At 51.6% G+C, this 24,700-nt stretch overlaps 1 protein-coding gene across 19 annotated transcripts in view, besides 5 other annotated features; it reads right to left on the reverse strand.

The window, feature by feature from the left end:
- Window positions 1-24,700, reverse strand: part of SHANK2 (SH3 and multiple ankyrin repeat domains 2) — a 785,381-nt gene that overhangs the window by 728,799 nt on the left and 31,882 nt on the right. The window lies entirely within an intron of this gene.
- Window positions 1,747-2,622: an enhancer, noted in NCBI's record as "H3K4me1 hESC enhancer chr11:70909445-70910320 (GRCh37/hg19 assembly coordinates)". NCBI's record gives its function as "activates a minimal SCP1, AML or CMV promoter by ChIP-STARR-seq in naive H9 embryonic stem cells {active_cell/tissue: H9 hESC(naive)}" and the evidence as "EXISTENCE:reporter gene assay evidence [ECO:0000049][PMID:30033119]".
- Window positions 2,623-3,497: an enhancer, noted in NCBI's record as "H3K4me1 hESC enhancer chr11:70910321-70911195 (GRCh37/hg19 assembly coordinates)". NCBI's record gives its function as "activates a minimal SCP1, AML or CMV promoter by ChIP-STARR-seq in primed H9 embryonic stem cells {active_cell/tissue: H9 hESC(primed)}" and the evidence as "EXISTENCE:reporter gene assay evidence [ECO:0000049][PMID:30033119]".
- Window positions 8,488-9,084: an enhancer, noted in NCBI's record as "H3K27ac-H3K4me1 hESC enhancer chr11:70916186-70916782 (GRCh37/hg19 assembly coordinates)". NCBI's record gives its function as "activates a minimal SCP1, AML or CMV promoter by ChIP-STARR-seq in naive H9 embryonic stem cells {active_cell/tissue: H9 hESC(naive)}" and the evidence as "EXISTENCE:reporter gene assay evidence [ECO:0000049][PMID:30033119]".
- Window positions 9,085-9,679: an enhancer, noted in NCBI's record as "H3K27ac hESC enhancer chr11:70916783-70917377 (GRCh37/hg19 assembly coordinates)". NCBI's record gives its function as "activates a minimal SCP1, AML or CMV promoter by ChIP-STARR-seq in naive H9 embryonic stem cells {active_cell/tissue: H9 hESC(naive)}" and the evidence as "EXISTENCE:reporter gene assay evidence [ECO:0000049][PMID:30033119]".
- Window positions 18,183-18,764: an enhancer, noted in NCBI's record as "H3K27ac-H3K4me1 hESC enhancer chr11:70925881-70926462 (GRCh37/hg19 assembly coordinates)". NCBI's record gives its function as "activates a minimal SCP1, AML or CMV promoter by ChIP-STARR-seq in naive H9 embryonic stem cells {active_cell/tissue: H9 hESC(naive)}" and the evidence as "EXISTENCE:reporter gene assay evidence [ECO:0000049][PMID:30033119]".

Raw genomic sequence — 24,700 nt, forward strand, 5'->3', positions numbered from 1 at the left:
GGCACAACAAACCAGGGGTCTCCCTGCATGCCCTCCCCCGCATGGCTCACAAAGACCCATCCCTGCCCGATGCAATGGCTCACGCCTACAATTCCAGCACTTTGGGAGGCCGAGGCAGGCAGATCACCTGAGGTCAGGAGTTTGAGACCAGCCTGGCCAACATGGTGAAATCCCATCTCTACTAAAGATACAAAAGTTAGCTGGGCATGGTGGCGGGCGCCTATAATCCCAGCTACTCAGGAGGCTGAGGCATGAGAATTGCTTGAACCTGGGAGGCAGAGGTTGCAGTGAGCTGAGATAGCGCCACCGCACTTCAGCCTTGGTGACAGAGTGAGACTCTGTCTCAAAAAAAAAAAAAAAAAAAAAACCCATCCCTGCTCTCAGCATTTATTGGATGAAGGCCCTCACGTGCCTCGCTCTCTCCCTAAGGGCTTGAGACCTCACATGGAACAAAATCAACATAAATCTCTGCCCTGGGAGACCATCTGTTGTCCTGGGAGTCAAAGCAGAACTGAAGGTAGAAGAACTTAGTTCCGTGACTCAGTGTGACCCAACGTGTTTGTATCCACAAAACCATTTCTTCATTTCCTTCCCCCCAGTGTCCGGCCTGAGCACATGGCTGGGCCCTCCCGGGTGGGGTGGAGGAGGGTGTGGGCAGGTTCCAAGATGCTACCACTCCAAGCATGTGCTACAGCCTGTGCCAACCTCAGCTCACAAACCTGCTCAGGCCTGTTCAAAAACAGATTAATAAATAAGCAAATAAGTGTGATGGCTCTTAAGTTCTAGCTCAGTTCTTTCATCTAGGGTTAGGCCTCCCTGGTGCCAGGCAAGCTGAGGCCGCCAACACCCTGCCCCATGAGGCCATCTTCTTCTCTGTCTCTCCATCTGGGCAAATCCCATCTGCTCTATCAGATGGTGAATCCTGGGGAGATGGACCCCATGGGTCTCAGATTTTAGATTTTGTCTGCATCTTCTGAAGAGAACCTGGCAGGCATTTTATTTATTTATTTATTTTTGAGACAGAGTCTCGCTCTGTCGCCCAGGCTGGAGTGCAGTGGCGCAATCTTGACTCACTGCAAGCTCCGCCTCCCAGGTTCATGCCATTCTCCTGTCTCAGCCTCCCAAGTAGCTGGGACTACACTGGCAGGCATTTTATAAAACACTGTTGATTAACCGAAAGGCCATTTCTGAGCCACATCGCTTACCCATGCTCAGCCCCACGGAAAGGGCATTTAAAGCAAAGAGTCTTAATCACCAACCCCAGCCAGGGAAGAAGGAGTCGGGCACCCTGGTCACAAACTCCAGCGTCAGAGAAGTCCAAGTTCAAACACAGGGGCAGTCACTGCTAAGGATGGTGAAAGCGCAGCAGTTGCCGAAGCTTCACTCTGTGTGCCGTTTCCGGTCAGCTCCACACCCAGCCTTCAAGGACAGCGGCTTGAGTTTGCATTTTTGCCTTGCTTTTAATTAATTTTTTTTTTTAGAGATGGGGTCTCACTATGTTGCCCAGGTTGGTCTCGAATTCTTGTGCTCAAGAGATCCTCTCGCCTCAGCATTCCAAAGTGCTGGGACTGCAGACATGAGCCACTGTACTCAGGCACTTTTGCCTTTGTATGTTATGAATGTTGTGGCTGGTGCTGGGGCCTCCTGCCCAGCATCTGTCCCAACAGGACAGTGACCCCAGTTAGGATCTCCCCCTGTGGGGAGTTTGGAGGGGCCGGCAGCTCTCGGGTTAAACAATCTCGTTCTCCCAGCCAGAGAATGGCTGAGGAAGGCTCATGCCATATGAGGAGAGGTCTCTAGCGGGGCCTCCAAGAAGGGTTTCTGCACCCTTGAGAAACAGCCCCACAGGAAACAGGCCTTCTCTTCCCCAGGACCCTGTCAGGAACATCCCACTACCACATCGTGAGTCCACGAGCTGTGAGGGGTGAGACCACAGCTGACCCCGCAGACGCCGTCCCCTACCAACCCCCATCCATGGCTGACTCCACACCACACTGGGGATGGGCCAAGACCAGACTCCCTTCCACGTCAGTCCCACCGGGGTCCCCTCCCGTCCAGCAGATGTACTGGAGGTTCAAAATCCAGAAGACAGCAGTGAGCCTCTGAGGCAGATGTCTCGTGTCTGTGGGCAAGTGAGGTTGTGAGGCGGCGGGGTCTTCAAAGGCAGAGTTGGTTCTGGATCCTGCACTGGTGGCCGTGGCTCATGGAGGCCTGAGCATCCTGTGGCAGTCTCCTTAGACTGCAGCTTTGAGAGTTGCCTGTGATGCTCGGCCCAGCATCGATGGTCATGACCAGGCCCATTTCCTCGAATTCCATCCCGTTCTGCTCAGTCACCTGCCACCATGCCGCAATGGACACGGGGCGGAGGCGTATTCAATGATGTGGCCCGGAGCCCACAGGTGAGGCACTCCAGGCCAGGGGGCATGAGGGACCCCCCAAGAAGGTCCAGAGACCAGAGACAGTCTCAGCAGTTACCAGTCACTTCCCTTACTCACAGGAACTGTAGGCCAGCGTTCTCAGCTCTGCCACTTGCTGTGTCACTTTGAGAAAGTCACCAGACCTCTCTGAACCTTAGCCCCTCCAACTGTAAAATGGGAGCTTTACTTCCCACCTCACAAGGCAAATCCACAGAAGTCAGCCTCTGCAGATGTGAACAAGCCGCATATTAAAATAGAAGACTCAGCCACAAACTGTGTCACTACCTGTAGGCAGCCAGGGTTTGCTCCAGGCAAATGGGCAGGCAGGAGCCAGACCGAATGAAATGTGACCTGCCGTAGAGGCAATACCTGCAGCTACACGTGACCACTCAGTCAAAATGAAGGTTGCAGTCACGCCCCAGGAAGAGGCACTTCATGGATGGGAGGAAGACACAGCAGCAAGGTTGCCTTGGCTCTCAAAGCCTTCGCTAAAACGTGCACACTCCCCAAGCCGCAGCCCACGCAAAGCAGCTGCAGCCTCGAAGGGAGCATGCAGGGAAGATGTGACAAGCCGGCCACTGCCCCTAGGACCTGAGCCCAGTGGATGCCCTTGAAGCAGCTGGGTCGTCAGGAACCGTGGAAGGAAAGCTGGCCGCACGGACACCGCACCCTGCCATAGGGAATCCTAATCCCCTGCGCTGGAAAGACCGAGGACAACCTTGGCCAGACGTGCAGACCCTGTAGCCGTGAGCTGCTGGGGACAGAGTCGGGGGTATTAAGGATTCAAGGAGACAGCAAAATGCCAGGCAGGAATCCCCTCTGGCAAAGAGAATGAAGCTTCATTTCCAAATAGATTAATCTCTCAAAGGCGGACATGGTTTTGTCTTTTAGGGCATTTGTTTCCTTAGCAATTTTTTAGACAGATAAAATTCACATAACATAGAATTTACCACTTTAAAGTATTTAATGGTTTTTAGCCATGTTGTGTAACCATCACCACTATCTAACGTCAGGACATTCTCAGCACCCCACATGGAAACCCTAAACCCATTAGCAGCCACCTCCCAGCCTCTGGCAACTGCTAGTCTATTTTCTGCCTCTGTGGATTTGACCAATCTGGACAATGCGGATAAATGGAGTCACATCATACGTGGCCTCTGTGTCTGGCTCCTTTCACCACACGTAATGTCCTCAAGGTGTATCTATGCAGTAGTCCTCATCCGTAATCCATTCCTTTTCAGGCCAAGTCACATCCCATCACATGGGTACACCACACTGTTTATTTATTACTCAGCTGACAGACATCTGACTGATTCCAGTTTTGGGCTATTATAAATAACGCTGCCATGAGCATGTATGTAAACATTTTCACTCGTACCTATGATTCCATTTCTCTTGGGGACACACCCAGGAGTGGAACTGCTGGCTCATGTGCTAACTCCACGTTTAACTTCACTCTACATTTGACTTCACTCTACATTTGACTTCACTCTACATTTGACTTCACTCTACATTTAACATAACTCTACATTTAACTTCACTCTACATTTAACTTTTTTTAGGACTTGCCAGGCCGTCTTCCTCAGCGGCAGCCACATGTTAACCAATACCATGGGTATGGCTCAGACAGTAATTCTCTTCCCACTGCTGTCATTTTGTCTTCAAGCCTTTATCTGCATGCTCAGTCAGGAGCTTCACACCATGGTCAGATGTGTTTGTCCTCAGTCACCAGACCACAGAGAGGTATCAAGTCTCAATTAATACACACACACACACACACACACACACACACACACTTCAGATCTTTATTTTAGTGACTGTCATATGGGGAAAACCCTATGTGTAAATAAAGGTATGTGCTCAAAGCTTTGTTCAGTGGTGCATTCAACCAATATTGGGCACCTGCAATGTGGCAGGGCCTGCCACGGGCCCCGAGGATGCATCAGTAAACAACATAAAGCCCCCACACCGACCTCCCCCGAGCCATCAAAGAGACAGACACGACAGTGATGGTTTAAGACAATTAGCAGTGCCCAAAAATTCCTCCCAAGATGGAAAATTAATCTTCCAATTAGGCCATGAGGAGCTCCTGCAGATGACATGCATTCATTTCCCTCAACTGTTCCTTCTCCACAGCAACCACGTGCCCTCCCCCATATTCCAACTTGACAAAGCGGTGGAAATCTGAGGCACTGCAAAGAGAGAGGTCTCGGCCACGAGAAGCACCTCTTGTCTCATGGATATATGGGATCCGTTGTGATCCCGAGGACAAGCACGTCTTTCCACGCCTCAGGAGAGCTGTGCTGCCCACCGCTGCCCGCCCGGAGATTGCGCCGAGCTGGCGTGTGCCACAAAGGGTGATCACCACGCTGTGTCCACTGCACTCCAATGCCATGATGGTCGGAGCTGCTGCTGCTGCTACTCACTTGGCCACAGACGGCGGTCACTGATGGCGGTCACCTGCACAGCAGGGGCTCGTGAGTGAGGGTCCCTATGAGCCGGTTCTCTTTCAAGCCCAGACACCAGTGACCTCAGCTTTAAGATAAATCCAGTGACTATTCCCATTTTACAGATAAGAAAAGCAAGGCTGAGAAGTATAGGTCACAGGTTCACGGCCACAGAGTGGGTACAAAGCAGAGACTTGTCCACGCCCAGCACACAGACTCCGAGGGTAGTGGGGCTGGCTTTGAAGTCCAGAAGGAGCACGTTGTCTCCCACCAGGAGACGGGGGATGAATCTGTGGGAAGGAGGCAGGGATGAGGCACCTACTCCAGTTCCTCCAGTCGCCCTGACCCGAGGAACAAACCTGCCTCCCGGAACCTGCCCAGTGGCTTCTGTCATTGCCAAATTTCAAAGGCACAGCCATGAGCCCTCCAAATGGATTAGGGTCCCCTGTTCTACAGGATACCGACCAATTATTGTTATTTGGACAAGTCCTGGTTTATCTGATTCTCTGATTCTTCACAGCTGTGTGGAGGAGGGGTGTGCCCACATGGCTCACGGGTACACAGTAGGTGCTTAATCACTGTGTGCCAAGTGAATGAATGGCTGCTTGATGATGAGGGTGCAAGGTGCACAAACAACTCCCTGCCTTTAAGGCATCTGCATGGGCCTGGTGGACACACCCTTCTGCCGGGTGGCAGCCCAGATCAGGAACTCACCTCAGAGGCCACTGGTTCCCCAGCCCCATCCCCTCCTCATTCCTCCCCTCAGGGCCTAGACAGGTCATGGAACCACATCTCAGAATGTGCACAGCAGCACAGAGGGCACACAACCAGCCACTCTCTGCAGCTCAGGTCCTTGTACCTTAAGAACAGCCTACCTGGCGGGTGGGCAGGTGACTGAACCCATTTCAGAGATCCATAGACTGAGGTCAGAGAGGTGAGGGTACTCCCAGCCCCTCGGCGAGACAAGGCAGAGCTAGGACCCAGGTCTTCCAACTCCACACTCAACATCATACCCACATCTCAGGCTACCCCTCCTCAGGAGCTGGCTTCCAGGTGGCTCTGCCCAGGTGTCAAAAGGGGTCGATGTTGGCCAGAATGACCCACCGGGAAAGCAGCCAGCACACAGAGTCACTAAAGGTGACCTTTGGGAAGTCTCTGAGTCATAGGCCAGTCAGAGCACACCATGGACAATCCTCTTGTCCATGTGGGATTCCTGACCAGGTCCCACCCAAAGGGCACAGCAAGGCTGTCTCCATCCACCTGGCCGGCTCCACTGCCTGCTGTGCCAAAGTCACCTGCCCTGGTTAAGTCAATGAGCATGCAAGGGGCAACAATGAGCACGGCACTGACCCAGGGTCAAAGCCATGGGAAACTGCCTTGGAAAAAACGGAGCCAGATGCCACCAGGATAGTTGGCACTGGGGCTGGGTGACTTTGACCCTTTTTCTCTGTTTTCCAAATTTTCTGTGGAGCAGCAAAATAAGAAGTAAATTGAGATATGGAAAACACTGTGTGTCCGCAGGACTGTACACACAGGCATGCTCATGGAGCAGGTGGCCCTGTGGGGTTCCAGTGATCTCAGGTACCACCTGCAAGGGTGGGTCAGCTTTTGGAATCAAGGGTCACACCAGCGTAATGACCATCTGTGAGGGGGAGGCGCAGGGTCTAGGGAGATGTGCCCCAATTGTCTGCTGGAGATGGTGAGGAGGCAGCGAACCTTTGCCAAGACCTTAGTGGTCAGCATTTGCCAACAAGTCAATCTCCCACATGCCTAAGAGATAGGTGCTATGATAACCCCTATTTCAACAAGAAAACAATGAGATATAAGAAGTATCTAAATCAGAGAGCTAATAAATGGTCAAACCAAGATTTGATCCTGTGCAGCTTGGACCAGATGCCAGACATTTTAATACTGTAGTGCAATAAAGGGTTAACTCAGCAGGCCTGGGTTGTCCAAACCCCACACACTCCAAAGAAAGACTGGGTCCCCAGGACAATTGCTTGAACTGGGGAGGCAGAGGTTGCAGTGAGCCAAGATGGCACCACTGCACTCCAGGCAACAGACCAAGACTCCATCTCAAAAGAAAAAAAAGAAAAGAAAGAAAGACGGGGTCCTTACCCAGCTCATGGGAGATCCCCTCTGAGCCCTGGGAATATCCTGTGTGGTAAGAGTGCCTGAGTTCACCTGGGGCCTTGAGTGACATCAGATGGCCTGTGCTAACAACACGTGTTACAGTGGGGACCCCAGGCCACATGGTAGCAGCGTGACCTCTCAGGGGCCTGGGGACTAAGGCCAGTCATACCTGTGTGAAGAACCCCCAGGAAAAGCCCTGGCTCCGAGGCTCAGGAGCAGGGTGCAGGGGTCTGGACTCCTTGTGTGCTGTCACACATCTTTGGGGGGAACCATCTACGTGCCGCCCCGGGAGAGAACACGGAAAGCGGGCGCCTGGTCTCTCCTGGACTCTGCCCCACATGCCTTTTGCCTTTGCTGATTCCACCCTTCGCTGTGATGAACCCTGCCTGTCGCTAAAACAGCTTCACTAAGGACTCTGTGAGTCCTTCTCATGAATCAGTGAACCTGGATGGGGGTGGCCTTGGGGAGCCCTGAACACAGCTGTCCTGTTCCGAGGAAAACTGCAGGCCAGGGGTGGGGAAACTGAGGTCTGGCTGGATTTACAAGAACATAAGTTACTTTTATAAAAGTCAAAGATGTAAATCCAAAAAAAACCCATAAACTCCATGGAAATGATCTGGAAGGGGCGTGCTCACATGGTAACTGCGGCACCAGGCCCCCGGCTCAGGGCACGGGCAGAGGGCCCCTGCTGGGCTGATGGTGCGGCTTGGTAGGAGTGTCCCACGGGGAGGTAACAGGACCCAGCGCACCTCCCATCTGCGCTGCCTCTGTAAAGTGAGCCTGTGCCAGGAAGGGACCCCATGGACACGTTCTCGGGTGACAGGCTCCGACGGGAAGAGGCACCACAGGGTGCCGCTTGCTCACCTCCTCTCCCCTGGGTGAAGGCTGCGGCAAGGGACTCCCCAGGCAGGTGCACTTCACCCTGACACCTGGACGCCTGTACCCTGCCAGCCACGCCCTTGCACTTTAGGGGAAGATAGGGTTTCTGAGAACAGGGTCCCCTCGAGGTTTCAGCTGGGGCCACTGTCTCCTTCCAAGACAGCCCCAGTCTAACCCTGACCAGAGACACAGAAAACAAGACCAAGAATGCACTCATTCTGGGACTGCTAAGTGATGAGGGCCACCCTGGAGCCACGCCAGACAAGTCCTGGGAAGGGGGCAGGAGGCAGGGGTTCGGAGCACTCCACCTTCCCAATGGCCCATCCACAGGATGCTGACCACGGCCGGGCAGGGAAGGGACGCCTGGTCCCAGGTAGGAGGGTCCCTCTGCAGATGGAGATGAGGGAGGCAGGGGACAGCTAGCTCGGGTGATGTCAGCCTTGGGTGATGTCAGCCTGGCCTCCCTCCTCCCTCCCTCACCTGCCCTCTCTCCTCTTCCCCATGAAGGCAGCCCCAGCAGGGTGCCCCAGTTAACACCAGAGGCAGGAAGGCCCCAAGTGCCCAGGGAGTCCCAGCCCTGGATTCCGTAGCACCCTTGTGTAATGAGCTACTCAGACCCAAGTTCCCGTGGCCTTTGCAGCCAGAGGCCTGACCACAGAAGTACCCCAGGCCACGGACTCTCAGCACGGGCCCATCCTGTGGGGTAGCCCCTTTTCTCACAGTCACCACCCCGCATCCAGCCCACATTCTTCCTAGCTTTGGGTCATCTGGAAATCTGGTGGTCATGCCTCTCTCTGGTCAGAGGGTACTGACCAGCACCACCCTGACCCTCAATCAGTGGCAAATCCAGCAGTGTCCTGTGGCTCTGCCTCGTGCCCCTGCTGGGCGCTCCTGCGAGAACCTCCACCCTCCAGCTCCTGCCTGTGCCCCTCTTGCTGGGCTCCAGTAGAGGCTGCACAGCCCCTCAGGAGGCAGTGCCAGGAGACCCACGTGCCAGGACGGAGAGTCCCCTTCAGCCTCCTTCCCCAGTCCCTCTAGCTGTTTGTTAGCATTCAACTTTGGGAAGTCCGAGTCGGCCACCCAGAGATTTCCAAGATGTCAGGGAAGCACCACACTTCCAAATTTTACCAGGAGGAAAGTTCCAGAGAGGGGTAGGTCTGCTAATGCTCCCTCCCCAACACCTACCAAGGCACTCCTAATGTGCATCTGGGCATGTTGGGTCAGGCGTGTTATTTATCCACTTGTTGGTGGCAGGGGGGTGGCAGAGTCCACAGGGTCACTGTGGGAAGATGGCCAAGGATGGTCTCTTGGGGCCATGTCAAGAGTCGTTTCTGGATGGCTGCTGAGATCTGGGAGAAAGGAAAGGCCCCTCAGCCCTGTGTCCCCCCAGGGCTGCAGCAGGTGAAACGGGGCTGGGGACCTCTGGGGAGAAAAGCTCCAATCAGGGCTGAGCTCTCATCGGCCCCATCCCCATCCAGAGAGGAGCCAGGTCCAATTTCTCTCCGTGTGCCCCGCGCCAGCCTGCATGGAACCCTCCACGTTTCCTAAAGTGGCTACTCCATGAACACAAGGGGAAAGAATACGCGAACTCACTCTGCAAAGTACACATCTGCCCGTGCTGATGGAAGAAGAAGGATGCTAGTGCAAAGTCTTCTGTTTCTGAATTCCCTCCCATTGCTTCCCTCTCCGGACAGGCACACACACAGAGCGACTCCAGGAAGGGCTGGAACAACGCCTGCACGTGATCAACAGCATCCGCACACCCGGATCTCCTCTGTGCGTTTAGTTAACTATTCCTTAGAGGTTACATCGTGACTGTTAAACAGCTGTTGGAAGCCAACTCTTCCCTCTGAAAACATCCAGGCAGAATTAACACTGGAATGCGGATCTGCAACTGCCACTCAGAGTGTCAGGAAGCACAGGAGCGTAAATATTTAGAGAAAGCCGGGAGCCAGCAGCGCCGCACCCCCGCCAGCCTACATCCACGCAGAGAGATCGCACTATTCTCATATCCACAGTTACAGAACCACAGCAAAATTACAGCGCTCATGTCCCCATACCTCCAAAAAACTAGCTTGCTACCTCAGTAAACAGTTGATAATTTGTAATATAATAAAAACGTCAAGGCTGGGTGCAGTGGCTCATGTCTGTACCCCCAGCATTTTGCAAGGCCGAGGCAGGAGGGTCACTCGAGGCCAGGCATTTGAGACCACCTGGGCAACATAGCAAGACGCGGCAACTACAAAAAATAAAAGTAAAAAAACTAGATGGACATGGTGGCACATACCTGTAGTCCCAGCTACTGAGGAGGTTGAGGTGGGAGGCTTGCTTGAGGCCAGGAGTTTGAAACCATCCTGGGCAACACAGCAAGACCCTGGTCTCTACAAAAAGTCAAAGTAAAAAAAAGATTAGCCAGGCATGGTTGTGCATGCCTGTAGTCCCAGCTCCTCAGGAAGGCGGGGAGTGAGGATTGCTTGAGCCCAGGAGGTTGAGGGTGCAGCAAGCTATGACTGGGCCACTTTACTCCAGCCTGGGTGACAGAGTGAGGCCCTGCCTCAAAATAAAAAAAAGAAAAGAAAAGAAAAAAAAATCATGGAAGGAAAGAAAAAAAAATAGGAACATTTGGATTCAACCAACACTTTAAAATTCCTTTTTTTTTTTTTTTTTTTGAGACAGAGTCTTACTCTATCAACCAGGCTGGAGTGCAATGGCGCAATCTCGGCTCACTACAACCTCTGCCTCCGGGGTTCAAGTGATTCTCTGGCCTCAGCCTCCCGAATAGCTGGGATTATAGGCTTCCGCTACCACACCCAGCTAATTTTTGTATTTTTAGTAGAGACAGGGTTTCACGATGTTGGCCAGGCTGATCTTGAACTCCTGACCTCAGGTGATCCGTGCGCCTTGGCTTCCCAAAGTGCTGGGATTACAGGCGTGAGACATCGTGCCCGGCCCATTTTAAATTTTATTTCTAACAGTCTCAGATAGGCCAAGCCTCCTACATTAGGTTTGTTTGCTTGTTGTGGTGAATTACATTCTCTCTGATTTTTCCCTTCTTCTTTCCAAGAAAAGGGGAAATTAGCAAGTTTCTAATCTATTTTCAGTGCTTTGCTGAGATGCAGGTAAAGTTTAACCAAGAAGCAAAAACAAATCGACAGAGCAGGACAGCACTGACGCCAGGGCCAGCTGCCCCGTGTGACCCCGTCTCTCTCAGCCAGGTCTTCCAGTCCTCGCTTCCAGAATCCAAACAGCTCTAACTAGTCCTCAGTGTGACACCGTCACTGGAGGCTGACCCTGCACCAGGCCTCTCTGGAAGGTGGCACACTCAGGGTCACTCTTGCCTCTCCAGGCTGGAGAGCAAAATGCCGAGAAAAGAATTCCTCTGTGTTCCTGCCTGCTTCCCAGGCAGGCTTACCTAAATTTCAACAAATTCCACTGCAAAAAAAAAAGAAAGATTGGTGTCCGAGAGGTATACTGGGTTTGGCAGTCTGAGGGCTCCCAAGAAAAGCTTTTAAGGGCCTTAAGACACCTAAAACCCACACATGAAGAAAACCACAGCTGCCCTGAACATCCAACTAGTCCAGCGTCCCTGTACTTAAACCCGAGGAGGGGCACAGAAAGCCATGCAGTGGTGTTCCCAGGGGCCCCACTGTGCACCCAGTGTGGCAGGAGGGTGCCCTGGAGGGGCATGAGCTGGAAGTGGGCATTGCTGGTTGAGTGGGATGTGCCAGGGCAGGGAGAAGCTGTCCTGGGAAGGAGGGCAGCCCCAGCAGAAGTGTCAGGGGAGATGGGGAAGTTGGGGGGAGAAGGGACACGCACCAGAGCCCAGTATGTGCAGAAGGCTCCAAGGATGGACTGGGTGAGGCTATGGAACAAGGGGAGAAAGAATCTCAACCCCATAAACCCTAGCCCGATGCTGCTTTCCAAATCTCGGATAGCTCCAGGGGACATTACGTTGCCAGGACAGGGCTGTGCACCCAAGTGTTCCTCCCCACCCTCCCTTCCCGAGTCCTAGGCAGGTGCTGTGGACATTACAGGTGGGTATAAAACAGCCCTGCCTCAAGGGAGCTCCCAGGATAGAGTGGCTGGCATAGCAAGGGAGACCAACGAGCAGTCTCTGGAATACGAAACACTGGCTTGGAATCCTGATTCCAATTCCCCTAGGTGTGATCCTTGGTGAGTTACTGAATCTCCAGCCTCAGTTTCCTTATCTGTCCAAGGCAGGTTGGAGGCTTAACAAGAGAGTCTAGGAAGACTGGACTTTTTATTGAGACAGAAGTGCTCAATAAATCGCATCTAAGGCACGCACACACACACACTCTCTGACTTAGAGCAGAGGTTGCTAAACTCTGGGAGATCACAGGCCAGGAAACAGAAGAAAAAGAAATTTCATGATCCTGTTGAGATGACCAACGTTACATGTCTCCAGGAAAAGGCATCTGCAGAAGTAAGATGCACCGTCAGCCACTGTTCCTCACCAGAGAGGACACTCGGCCCCAATGTCAGGGGAAAGGTCAGAGCAGAATAAAGCCCAGTCCTCTGAGTCTAAGCCACTGTGCTTCAAAAGCAGAACGTCCCTCTCAGGCCCTGGCTCTGCTCATTTCACCACAGATGGAAGGAGCTGGTCAGGAACCAGCCAGGCTGAATCACGAAGCAGGAGGCTCCTCCAGCCCCATCCCCAGGCCAGGATAAATGTCGCTCTGGGTGAGGACTTGAGGAAAACCACAGGGCCTTGCAAGGACTGTCATGATTGTTCTCATCAAGAAATCCCCTTCACAATTTGTAGTGAGTGGGCCACTCCCGACACAGGCCAATCAGACACACCCTCCCACGCCCTGCCTCAAGAAAACCCACGTGCAGGGCTGACCCAGGAGGGAGCTTCGGTTCGCAGGAGCCCAGCCAAGCAGGTGTGGAGGGGGTCAGGCTTCCCTGTCCAGGGACACACCTGGGTGCTCCCCTTTGCATAGGTCGTGCCTCCTCTCAGAATCAGGAACAGCCATGGTGCCCCCTCCCACCAGCACACACATGGTCATACCCAGACCCAGCTCCTCACTCTTGACTCAGTGAACTTCTGGGAGAGCTGCAAAGCCAGGCAGCAGCCATCCCTTGTGGCAGAACACACAGCAGACAGGAACCCTGTGTTGGTGTCAATGTGCTGGGTGCTCCTGCAGGAGACCCTCCATACTGCGTGTCCCTGGACTACCAAACAGCACATCTGCTCTGGAGGTGAGGGTCTTTGTCCCATCCCATCAACAGAGCACCTGCCGTGAGCTGCCTAGAGAGATATACTGGGGGGTCTCTGCCAGACTACATCCCAGGGGCCTGCCTGGCACCCCGTGGGGGCTCTCTGGGACAGCAGGACGTGTCCATTCTTCACAAGACTCATCAGATGCCTGGCGCCCAGTGGGGTATCTCTGGGAGTGGCAATAAACCACCGAGGATTCGACACAGGACGTGGGTTGTGTGCTGAGGCATCCATTCTTCACAAGACTCATCAGATGCTCAAACGAGTCCGTGACCCCAAAATGTGAAGAACAGAAGCTTTCGATCATCTGCAAGGGAACTTCTGAAGGCAGCCTCAGTCCCAAGGGGTCTCCAGGGGCTGCAAAACCATCCCCAGTATTTAGTGGTGCATACCTGGTCTCAGCCCTTGCCACCTGGTCCTCTTCATTGGAAATCCACAGGTATATATATATATATATATATATATATATATATATATATATATTTATTTATTTTTTGAAACAGAGTCTCTCTCTGTCGCCCAGGCTGGAGTGCAATAGTGTGATCTTGGCTCACTGCAAGCTCTGCCTCCCAGGTTCATGCCATTCTCCTGCCTCAGCCTCCCGAGTAGCTGGGACTACAGAAGCCCACCACCACGCCCGGCTAATTTTTTTGTATTTTTAGTAGAGACGGGGTTTCACTGTGTTAGCCAGGATGGTCTCAAATCTCCTGACCTTGCGATCCACCCACCTCGGCCTCCCAAAGTGCTGGGATTACAGGTGTGAGCCACCATGCCCAGCCCAGATACATATTTATATTCATGTAATGTGCTTTTGTTTCTGTTCACACTCATCTCACTTCTTCCCTACTGGCAGACTGTTCCACAAGTGTCAGGAAATCCACTGCAGCTGGAGACCAGATCACTCCATCCACCCACTTCCCCCCACTTGACCTGGGGCTCAGTGGATACCAAGAGACCCAGGCGTCTGCTGAAGGAACTGGGGACAGAGAGCACCATTGTCCTAAATAAAACACACTCCACACCTGGACAGCACTCTCCCTGCTCCAAGAATGAGCCCGGAAGCCTCAGGACTGAAGAGAAAAACATCTTGGGGGCAGTGAAGAGAGTGTGATGCAGCGCCGGCACTCCCCTCATCCTCACGGATTTGGGGAAACATAACAGGTCCAAGACAGACGCATGAGGAGAGGGCAGGGGTGTATTCCAGTTCAGTCCATCTGCACCGCTGACAGGATCCTGCCATTTGACCCCTCAGGGTCCTGTTTCAGGGGGGTCCCCCAGGGCTGCTGCAGCCCTAATTGCTCCCCTTACCAAGTTCACGATGACAGCTCCCTGAGACACCCACAGGCCCCGTGGCTACTCCATATTCCCTGGCACCCAACCCTGGACTCAGTCCAGCACACTGTGTCCTATTGGTCAATTTCCTTTTTTTTTTTTTTTTTTTTTGGAAAAAAACATTGAGATTTTAAAATTTACACATCATCGAATTCACTCATTTAAAGCATGTAACTCAGTGCTCCCAGCCTTTTGGGAGGCCGAGGAGGTCAGATCGCTTGAGCTCAGGTGTTCAAGACCAGCCCAGGCAACATGGAGAAACCCCATCTCTACAAAAACATAAAAATTAGCCAGGCATGGTAGTGTGTGCCTGTAATCCCAGCTACCTGGGGGGCTGAGGCGAGAGAATCACTTCAGCTAGGGAGGTCAAAGCTGCAGTGAGCCACGGTTGTGCCACTGCCCTCCAGCCTGGGCAACAAAGCAAGATCCTGTCTCAAAAAAAAATAAATAAATACAATAAATAAAATGTATAATTCAGTGGGTTTTAGTGAGTTCACAGAGTAGGGTATCTATCACCACAATCCATTTTTGAGCATTTGCAAAAAAAAAAAAAAAAAATTAACCTGTATCCCTTAGCCATCACTCCTCAAGCTCCCCCATCCTCTCCCTCAGTCTCTCCCCAACCACTAATTATTTTCTCTATATATAACTTGGCCACTTTGAGGCATTTCATATAAATGGAATCACATGATGTATGGTGAGTCAATTCTCTTTCATTCTTTTTTTCACTTCTTTTGAGAAAAGCTTTGCAGTTGTCCAGATCTCCTCTGTGCATGGTTCTTTAAGTTGCATGCCTGAATCACTTCAAAATATGAGATGGGAACACACTGGAACGACTCTGGCTTAACGTCCACCTCAAAGCCTATTCACTGTGTTTTCAGCTTTCACTGAGGTCAAAGATATTTGAAACCATTTTGTTTTTTGCAAAACCCCACCTGCAAACACCGTGTCGCATGAAAAAATTCTTCCTAGATGAGAGCACCAAGAAAAGTCTGCTTTCCAAATGAACTGATATTAGACAAAAGAATTCTGTTATTCCATCTTTCTCTTCTTGCCCTGGCTGCCAGGAAGCTCAGAGATTAAAAACCGGATGTTAACTGTACAAATGCTCTCTTATGCTACAGTTGGGTCTTAGAGACTCCTCATGGTTCAAGCAGAGTTTTACCAGCGTGGCATGCAGAAGACTCATTTGGGAAAACAGCTAAAAAGACAGATTCCTACTGAATCTGATATCCTATAGATAAGGTCTTAAAATCTGCAATTTAAATAACATGCCTAAAAATGTTCTCAGACCTGGCTTTAAAGCCAAAGCAAAATGTCACAGCCCTTTTCCTAGGACTTAAAAGACATTCTGGGGAAAACAAGCCTCGTTCCTCCTCTTGTATCATCTTCGTCCTCACCCAGTGAGCATCCATGTGCATCATGTGGCTGTTTCCAGGGGCTGCAGTGAACAGAGCAAACGTGCCCATTCCACGAGAAAGGGCTGTCATTGCTCTAAGATGATGAGACCATCTTTGGCCGAGATGGAAGGATTTATAGAAATGAGCATGCTGAACACAATCCTGTTCCCTGGATGAATAAACTCAATCCAAGTCCTCAAAGGGTTCCAGCAGTTTCCATGAATCCACTTCCTCAACGTCAAACACCAGAGCTTTGCAAAGCTTTAGGACGTTCTTGCCACCAGGAATCCCTGCTCTGGTAGGAGAGGTTTCTTTCCCCATTTCCCTCACTGGGTAACCAGGTCGGAACAGCAGGTGGAGGCACAGGAAGAGGAGCAGGGACCCCAGGCGGAGGCACAGGGAGAGGAGCAGGGACCCCAGGCGGAGGCACAGGGAGAGGAGCAGGGACCCCAGGCGGAGGCACAGGGAGAGGAGCAGGGACCCCAGGGGGAGGCACAGGGAGAGGAGCAGGGACCCCAGGTGGAGGCAAAGGAAGAGGAGCAGGAACCGAAAGACACTGTGCCCATTTCTACAGCGTTGCAGGGTGCAGGACTGCTGCTGCCACCCAGGTAAGTCCAGGGGGCTTAAGGGCTGAGGTTCTTTACAGAGAACAAGCAAAGGTGGAAAAGGAGAATCTTCCCGGGACAGCAGGGACTCCTAGCAGCTGAGGGGCCAGGCACAGGGAGGCTCTCACAACAGAGGCAGATATTTCCCACACGGCCAGCAGCCTGCACAGCTGTGCCTGCCAACAACTGTCTGGTATTTTGTGAGGACGCCAAGATTACCATACTCTTTCGTCCCTCTATTCTGGAAAACACAGTTTGCTCCAACCTTTCACTATCCTAAATAGTGCCAAGTTGGACATCTTTATGATCACAGTTTCACTTTACTCTTCCCTCTGGATAAATCCCCAGGGGCAAGGTTTTTAACTCAAAGTCCATTTTCCTGTAAAACAGAGGTTCAAACACCACACAGAGGAGAGCGCAGACTCTGTCCTCTGTGCTCTGGAATTGTTTTTAATCACTGCACGAGCCATGTGGGGCATTAGACCTAAATAGCATTGTTGAACTCTGAGGGTCTCCTTCTGATGTTCCCCACACTCGGAAACTGACTCCCTGTGGGAAAAGGTGGTGGCCACACCTGAGCACCGGGCTGATCTTCCTTCTACAAACATGTCATCTCCCTCTCTGGCTCTTGCCAGCCTGCCGCCTCCATCCACACAGAGGAACGGCCTTTCTGATAAGCAAACTGGACTAATCATGTCTTCTATTTTCTGTCTTAGGACGTTTTGACATCTAGGGGAGCCTCGCAGACACTGGGAGAGACCGCCCCTTCCAGAGCTGGCTAGTTCCCAAAGACAGTAAGTGGCTTCCTTGGGCCATTTACCATGCACTCGCATGCACAAGCCAACCACCCCTTTTTCAACTCCTGTTCACCCAGCCAATATGAACCACCCCTGCCCTAACGCGCCCCAGGACCAGGTGCCAGGCAAGCAAAGACCTCCCCTACAGCCCCAGGCCTGCTGCAGTGACTCACCTGGCCTGGCCCTGCCTCTCTCACAGAAACCCCCAGAAAGGGTCTGGCCTCAGTTTCCTCCCACCTCCTGCCTCCTGACCAAACCCTGGGGCTTCCCCTGTGGCCCCAGGGCTCATGCCCCCTGCTCTTGGGAAATGTAAGCCATAAAACCTTCTTTTGGGAAATCTTTTTGTCCTCACTCAGCCACCTCCATCAGTTAAAATCCCGCAGCACAAATGAGACAGACGCAGCAAGGAAGACAGTTTCCACGCAGGTGAGGAACCGCGTGCTGGCTCCCCTCTGGACCTCCCAGCAACAAACCAGGGCTCCCCAGGCCCTAGAGGGACACCCTCCCTTCTTTTCCACCCACAGCCGAAACACACACAGCTGGGACTTCTTTCTTCTGTAGCCAAAAGACATCGTGATTTAGCGCCATCAGCTTTGCTTGAGAAAACGACCTTCCCTAACCACACGTTTCCGAAGAAGTGTCATCTCTGCTCAGCCTGCTAGGTTGGGAGACTAAAATGTGAAGATGGGTCTGGCTCAGGGTCCCACTGCTGTCTCAGCAAGTCTGGCCAGAAGCTAACTGGAGTCAGGCCAAGGGGGCATCACTGTCAGACCCTTGGCCCACCCAAGTGCCCACCCACACATCTGTCGCGTGCCACCCCGGGCTGCCCTGTCCTCTGGGGTGGGGTATCGCGCAGTTCTGACTGGGACCCATGCAGCTGTCCTCTCGTGCAATTGCTAAGAAGGTGAAGTGGGGTCACAAAAGGCCATTCTAGACCAGCAGGTGCTCGATGGGAGGCCTGGGGGTGGCCACAGCCTTTCGTTCTGGTCTCCAGGTATTGAAGGCCACCAAGCATCCCGCCTTCCACACATCCTCCTCTCGGCAGGGAGGGAGAACAGAATAGGGCTGCGTGGCGGTTTCCTCCTGGATCCCACATACACAGAGGAGCTGGCTGTGCTGCAGGTACATGGGGCTTTCCCTTCAGCGGACAGCTCCCTCCACCAGCCATTCTCCCACAGCCCACACGCTCACACCATCAGGCAGGCATGCCCCGATGTGCGATGTCCTTCATCAAAACCCCTCGTGATAGTGCAGCTTAATGCCATCCGAGTGCTGGAAAGAACCACAGGCCCCAGCTCTCACCCTGGAGCCGCAGCAGGGCCCACGCTCTCTCTGAGCCTCGGTGTCCACCACAGTCTCAGCAGGGGCAGCACCAAGTAACATCTGGTCCCCCTGCCCCCTGCGTCTGTACTTTTGAGGCCTCCCTGGCTCCCCTCACCCTGTCTGAACACGCCACTCTGTCATCTCAAGGCTTTGTGTCTCCCATGAAGCCTTCAGCAGGTTCTGCCCTGGTCACCCCTGGCTGCCCATCAGCAGGGCTCAGGTCCCAGAGGCACCGAGGGAGCTTCAGATGGTGCCTCCTGCCAAGACAGGCCCCCTGAGCGAACGTGAGGTCAGGCCTGAAAAGAAAGCAAGGAAGGCCTGCTGAGGATGTACCTCCTTTCCCAGGCAGGCACCTGCAGAAGGCCACAGCCCCAACTGTTCCCCGAGGAGGTGTCCCCACATAGCCATCCGTGGCACAGTGGCTCCCACTCAGGGCCCTGCTAATGTCCTCGGACATCCATCTACACCTCTCTCCCTGCACACACTGCAGGCGTGCCAGCTCAGGAGCTCAAACCTCTGCAAACACGATTATTTAGCAAAACCCAGACATGACACCCCAGAAGCGGCACCCCCACTCTGTAGTCAGACCACAACCTTTTTAGGGACAAGGAGTGGAGTCAGGCTCCCGCAGCACCTACCACCACCTTGGGCACATTGCTGATGCTCAAATCAAATCTTTCGAACCACAATGAGACAGCGCCTCCCCCACCCTCCAGGATGAAGATAACCAAGAAGAGAGATGGGAACAGAAGCAGGCAAGGGAGTGGAGCAAGTGGAGCCCTCATCCGACGCTGGAGAGGAGGTCCAACGGCGCAGCCACTCTCTGGAACATGGTTTGTCCCTCCTCCACTGAGGGACACACGACTCCACACGGCCCAGCAGCTCCACTCCTAGGAATCTACCCGAGAGAAACGAAATCGCGTCCACACAAAAGCCTGTACAAGAATGTCCAAGTGTGTAAAAGCCAAAAAGTGGGAACAACCCAAATGTCCAGCATGTGATAAACATAATATTGGATTAAAAAGATGCTGTATCATATGGTGCAGTATCACTCAGCCTTTAAAAGGAAGGAATCACTGAATCATGCTAAACGTGGTCAAGCCTTGAAAACATGATGCTGAGTGAGAAGATGGACACAAAGGTCATGTATTATACGATTCCATTTATATGAACTGTCCCAGATGGGCAAATCCGTAGAGATGAAATGGAGATTTGTGGTCGCCAGGGCCGGAGGTGATTGGTTAGAGGGATTCAGGAGGAGGGAGTGACTTCTAATGGTACAGGTTTTGGGGGGGAATATAAAAAAAGATTACTCTTCACAAATGTTAATATTGATTTGGGTGATGACTGCGCCACTCTGAAAATACAGCCACGTGCTGCTGTCAACATTTCAGTCAAGGAGGGACTGTGTATGCAATGGCGGTCCCATAAGATTGCAATGGAGCTGAAAACTTTTTATCACCAAGTGAGGTCACAGCCCCAGGGACGTCGTAGCTCAATGCATTCCTCACGCGTCTGTGATGCTGCTGGCCTAAACAGACCTCCTGCACTGCCAATCTAATTAAAGTCTAGCACATACAATTTTGTAGGTACATAGTACTCAATAATAAGAAAAAACTATGTTACTGGTTTATGCATTTACTATATTTTTTAGAGTATATGCCTTCTACTTATTAAAAAATAAAGAGGCTGGGTGCAGTGGCTCACGCCTGCAATCCCAGCACTTTGGGAGGCTGAGGTGGGAGGATTAGCTGAGGTCAGGAGTTTGAGACCAGTCTGGCCAACATGGTGAAACCCCGTCTCTACCAAAAATACAAAATTAGCCAGGCATGGTGGTGCATGCCTCTAAGTCCCAGCTACTTGGGAGGCTGAGGCAGAAGAATCGCTTGAACCCGGGGGGTAGAAGATGAAGTGAGTCAAGATCGTGCCATTGCACTCCAGCCTGGGTGACAAGAGCAAAACTCCGTCTCAAAATAAAATAAGAGAGTAAACTAGGGGCCAGGTGCAGTGGCTCATGCCTGTAATCCCAGCACTTCGGGATGCCAAGGCAGGTGGATCACTTGAGGTGAGGAGTTTGAGACCAGCCTGGCCAACATGGAGAAACCCCACCTCTACTAATAAATACAAAAATTAATTGGGCACGGTGGCGCGCCTGTAATCCCAGCTACCTGGGAGGCTGAGGCTGAGAATCACATGATCCCTGGAAGTGGAGGCTGCAGTGAGCCGAGATCATGCCACTGCACTCCAGCCTGGGCAACAGAGCAAGACTCCGTCTCAAAAAAAAAAAAGTAAACTGTAAAACAGCCTCAGGCAGGTCTTCCAGATGTTCTAGAGGAAGGCACTGTAATCACAGGAGATGCCAGCTCCACGCATGTTACTGCCCCTGAAGACCTTCCAGTGGGACGAGATGCAGAGGTGAAAGACAATGGTATTGAATATCCTGACCCCGCGTAGGCCAAGGCTAACGTGTGGATTTGTGTCTTAGTTTTTAACAAAAAAATTAAAAAGTAAAAAAGTCTTTGAATAGAAAAAGGCTTATGGAATAAGGATATATGGAAACAAAATGTTTGTATAGCTGACAATGTGTGTTTTAAGCTAAGTATTACTGCAAAAGAGTCAAGAGGTTTTTTGTTTGTTTTTTGAGACAGAGTCTCGCTCTGTCGCCCAGGCTGGAGTGCAGTGGCGCGTTCTTGGCTCACTGCCAACTCTGCCTCCTGGGTTCACACCATTATCCTGCCTCAGCCTCCTGAGTAGCTGGGACTACAGGCACCCGCCACCACGCCCGGCTAATTTTTTGTATTTTTAGAAGAAAGAGGGTTTCACCGTGTTAGCCAGGATGGTCTCGATCTCCTTACCTTGTGATTCGCCTCCTTACCTTGTGATTAGCCTTCCAAAGTGCTGGCATTACAGGCATGAGCCACCATGCCCGGCCAAGAGGTATTTTTTTAAAAAAATTAAAAGTTTATAAAATAAAAAAGTTACAGTAAGCTAAAGTCAATTTATTATTGAAGAAATTCTTCTAATTTTCTTTTTCTTTTTTTTTTTTTTTTTTTTGAGATGGAGTTTTGCTCTTCTTGCCCACGCTGGAGTGCAATGGTGCAACCTTGCCTCACCGCAACCTGCGCCTCCCAGGTTCAAGCGATTCTCCTGCCTCAGCCTCCAAGTAGCTGGGACTACAGGTATGTGCCACCACGCCCAGCTAATTTTGTATGTTTCGTAGAGACGGGGTTTCTCCTTGTTGGTCAGGCTGGTCTCAAACTCCCGACATCAGGTGATCCACCCGCCTCAGCCTCCCAAAGTGCTGGAATTACAGGTGTGAGCCCCCGGGACCGGGCTGTTCTATTTTTAAATTGAATCTGTGGTGCCCAGGGATGAGCAGCGTGAGGGCAGGGTATGGAACCTTCATCGCTACCTTCTCACCACCCAGCTGTCCACATCAGCACAGAACACCTACACACCCAATCTCCATCAACTCCAAGGTCTCTCGATGGGAAAGACTCACGTGAAAATCCAATGACCCCTGAACCAGACACAAGTTGCAGTGGCAGCATAAACAGCACTGGGCGTAACTAACTGGGAAGGAAGCCCCAGACTTGCTGTCCTGCCACTCAACCCAGCCTCGTTCTTCCAGCACTGCTGGAGACTGTGCCTGAATGCCTCCCTCTTCTGCAGCCCCCAGCAGGAAGGAGTCCCAAGCAGCCTTCTCTGTAGGGCACCCAGAGAGAGTGGCATCTGTGCACCCCACAGGTGGTCAGCATCCTACACAGACATCGCAGAAGAATGTAACGGAGCTTACCCAAGGCTCTGTGGGCAAGCTTCAGACCACGAGGACACCATCACGTGCAATGTCCCACATACCAGCATTTAGAGAAGCCAGATGAGGAGAGAGCATTTCTCAGAATCACATCAGAGAAAAGTGGCATGGTTCTAGGCAATGCGCTGAGATCATTTAGAACAAGGCCCACAAAATTTTCTGTAAAAGTCCAGCTGGTAACTACTCTCAACTTTGCAGAGCATGCAGTCTGTCACAACGATTCAACTCTGCCACACACAACGTGGAAAGAGATGAGCACGGCTGGGTGCCAATAAAACTTTATTCACAAAAGAGAACCCAGATTGTCAGGAAATATCACAAATTACACATCTGACCAGGGATTAGCATCTAGCATATATCAAGAACTCATACAATCCAACAACTCAAAAATAGGCAAAGAACTTGAATAGACATTTTTCTGAAGATATTCAAATAACCAATAAGCTCATAAAAACATGCTCCACATCACTAATCAATAGGAAAATGCAAACCAAAACCACAATGAAATACCACATCAACACCCCCTAGAATGGCTATTTTAAAAAACAAAAACAAAAAAAACAAACAGGCCAGGTGTGATGGCTCACACCTGTAATCCCAGCCCTTTGGGAGGCTGAGGTGGGCAGATCAGCTGAGGTCACCAGTTCAATATTAGCCTGGGCAACATGGTAAAATCCCGTCTCTACTAAACAAATAAAATAAAATAATTAGCCAGGCATGGTGGTGGGTGCCTGTAATCTCAGCTACTCGGGAGGCTGAGGTAGGAGAATCACTTGAGCCCAGGAGGCAGAGGTTACAGTGAGCTGAGATCACACCATTGCACTCCAGCCTGGGCAACAGAGCGAGACTCCATCTCAAAAAATAATTAAATTAAATTAAAAATTTACAAAAACAAAAACAGGCCAGGTGTGGTGGCTCACACCTGTAATTCTAGCACTTGGGGAAGCTGAGGTGGGTCAATTGCTTGAGCTCAGGAGTTCAAGACCAGCCTGGACAACATAGTGAGACCCCCCCACCCATCTCTACAAAAAAATTTAAAAATTAGCCAGGCATGATGGCACATGCCTGTGGTCCCAACTACTCAGGAGGCCGAGATGGAAAGGAGGATTGCTTGGGCCTGGGAGGCCGACGCTGCAGTAAGCCTTACTGTGCCACTGCAATCCAGCCTGGGTGACAGAGTGAGACCCAGTCTCAAAACAGAAACAAACAAACAAACAAACAAACAAAACAAAATACGAGTGTTGGCAAGGATGTGGGAAATTGGAACCTTTGAGCCTTGCTGGTGGGAATGTAAAATAGTATAACCGCTGTGGAAAACAGTACGGCAGTTTCTCCAAAAACTAAACATAAAAAACCATATGAACCTGCCATTCCATTTCTGGGGGTAGGTATATGCCTGAAAGAACGGGTGGATATCTTGAGGAGATATATCCGCACACCTATGTTCACAGAACACTATTCACAACAGCCAAAAGGTTGGAGCAACCCAGTGTCCACCACTGGATGAACGCATAAACAAGGTGTGGTCCATTCACAGAAGGAGTATTTCTTAGGCTTAAAAAGAAATGAAGTTCCAATACATGCTACAATGTGGATGACCCTGGAGGACATTACGTTAAGTGAAAGAAGTCAGGCACAAAATCTCACATGACCCCACTCCCATGAGGTTCCTAGAGTGGGGAAATCCATGGAGACAGAAAGTTGAATAGGGGTTGTCAGGGGCTGGGGAAGAGGAATGGGGAGGGAGGGTTCAATGCGGACAGAGTTTCAGTTTGGAAAGACGAAAAAGTTCTGGAGACGGTTGGTGGCGATGGTTGCACAGCCACATAAATGTGCTTAATGCCACTGAATGGCACACTTTAAAAATCGTGAAGATGGGCCAGGCACGGTGGCTCACGCCTATAATCCCAGCACTTTGGGAGGCTGAGGCAGGTGGATCACTTGAGGTCAGGAGTTCAAGACCAGCCTGGCCAACATGGTGAAACCCTGTCTCTACTAAAAATACAAAAATTAGCCGGGCTTGGTGGCAGGCGCCTGTAGTCCCAGCTACACAGGAGGCTGAGGCAGGAGAATCGCTTGAGCCCGGGAGGCGGAGGTTGCAGTGAGCCGAGATCATGCCACTGCACTCCAGCCTGGGCAACACAGTGAGTGAGACTCCATCTCAAAAAAAAAAAAAAAAGATGAAGATGGTAAATTCTGTATTATGTGTATCTTGCTAAGACTTTAAAAATAAAAACAAAATTTCATTTACAAAAACAAGGAATGAGCAGGATTGGACCCTCACACCACAGTCTGCCAGCTTCTGGTTGGG

Source organism: Homo sapiens, chromosome 11, assembly GCF_000001405.40.
Source record: "Homo sapiens chromosome 11, GRCh38.p14 Primary Assembly".
Classification (NCBI taxonomy): Eukaryota; Metazoa; Chordata; class Mammalia; order Primates; family Hominidae; genus Homo; species Homo sapiens.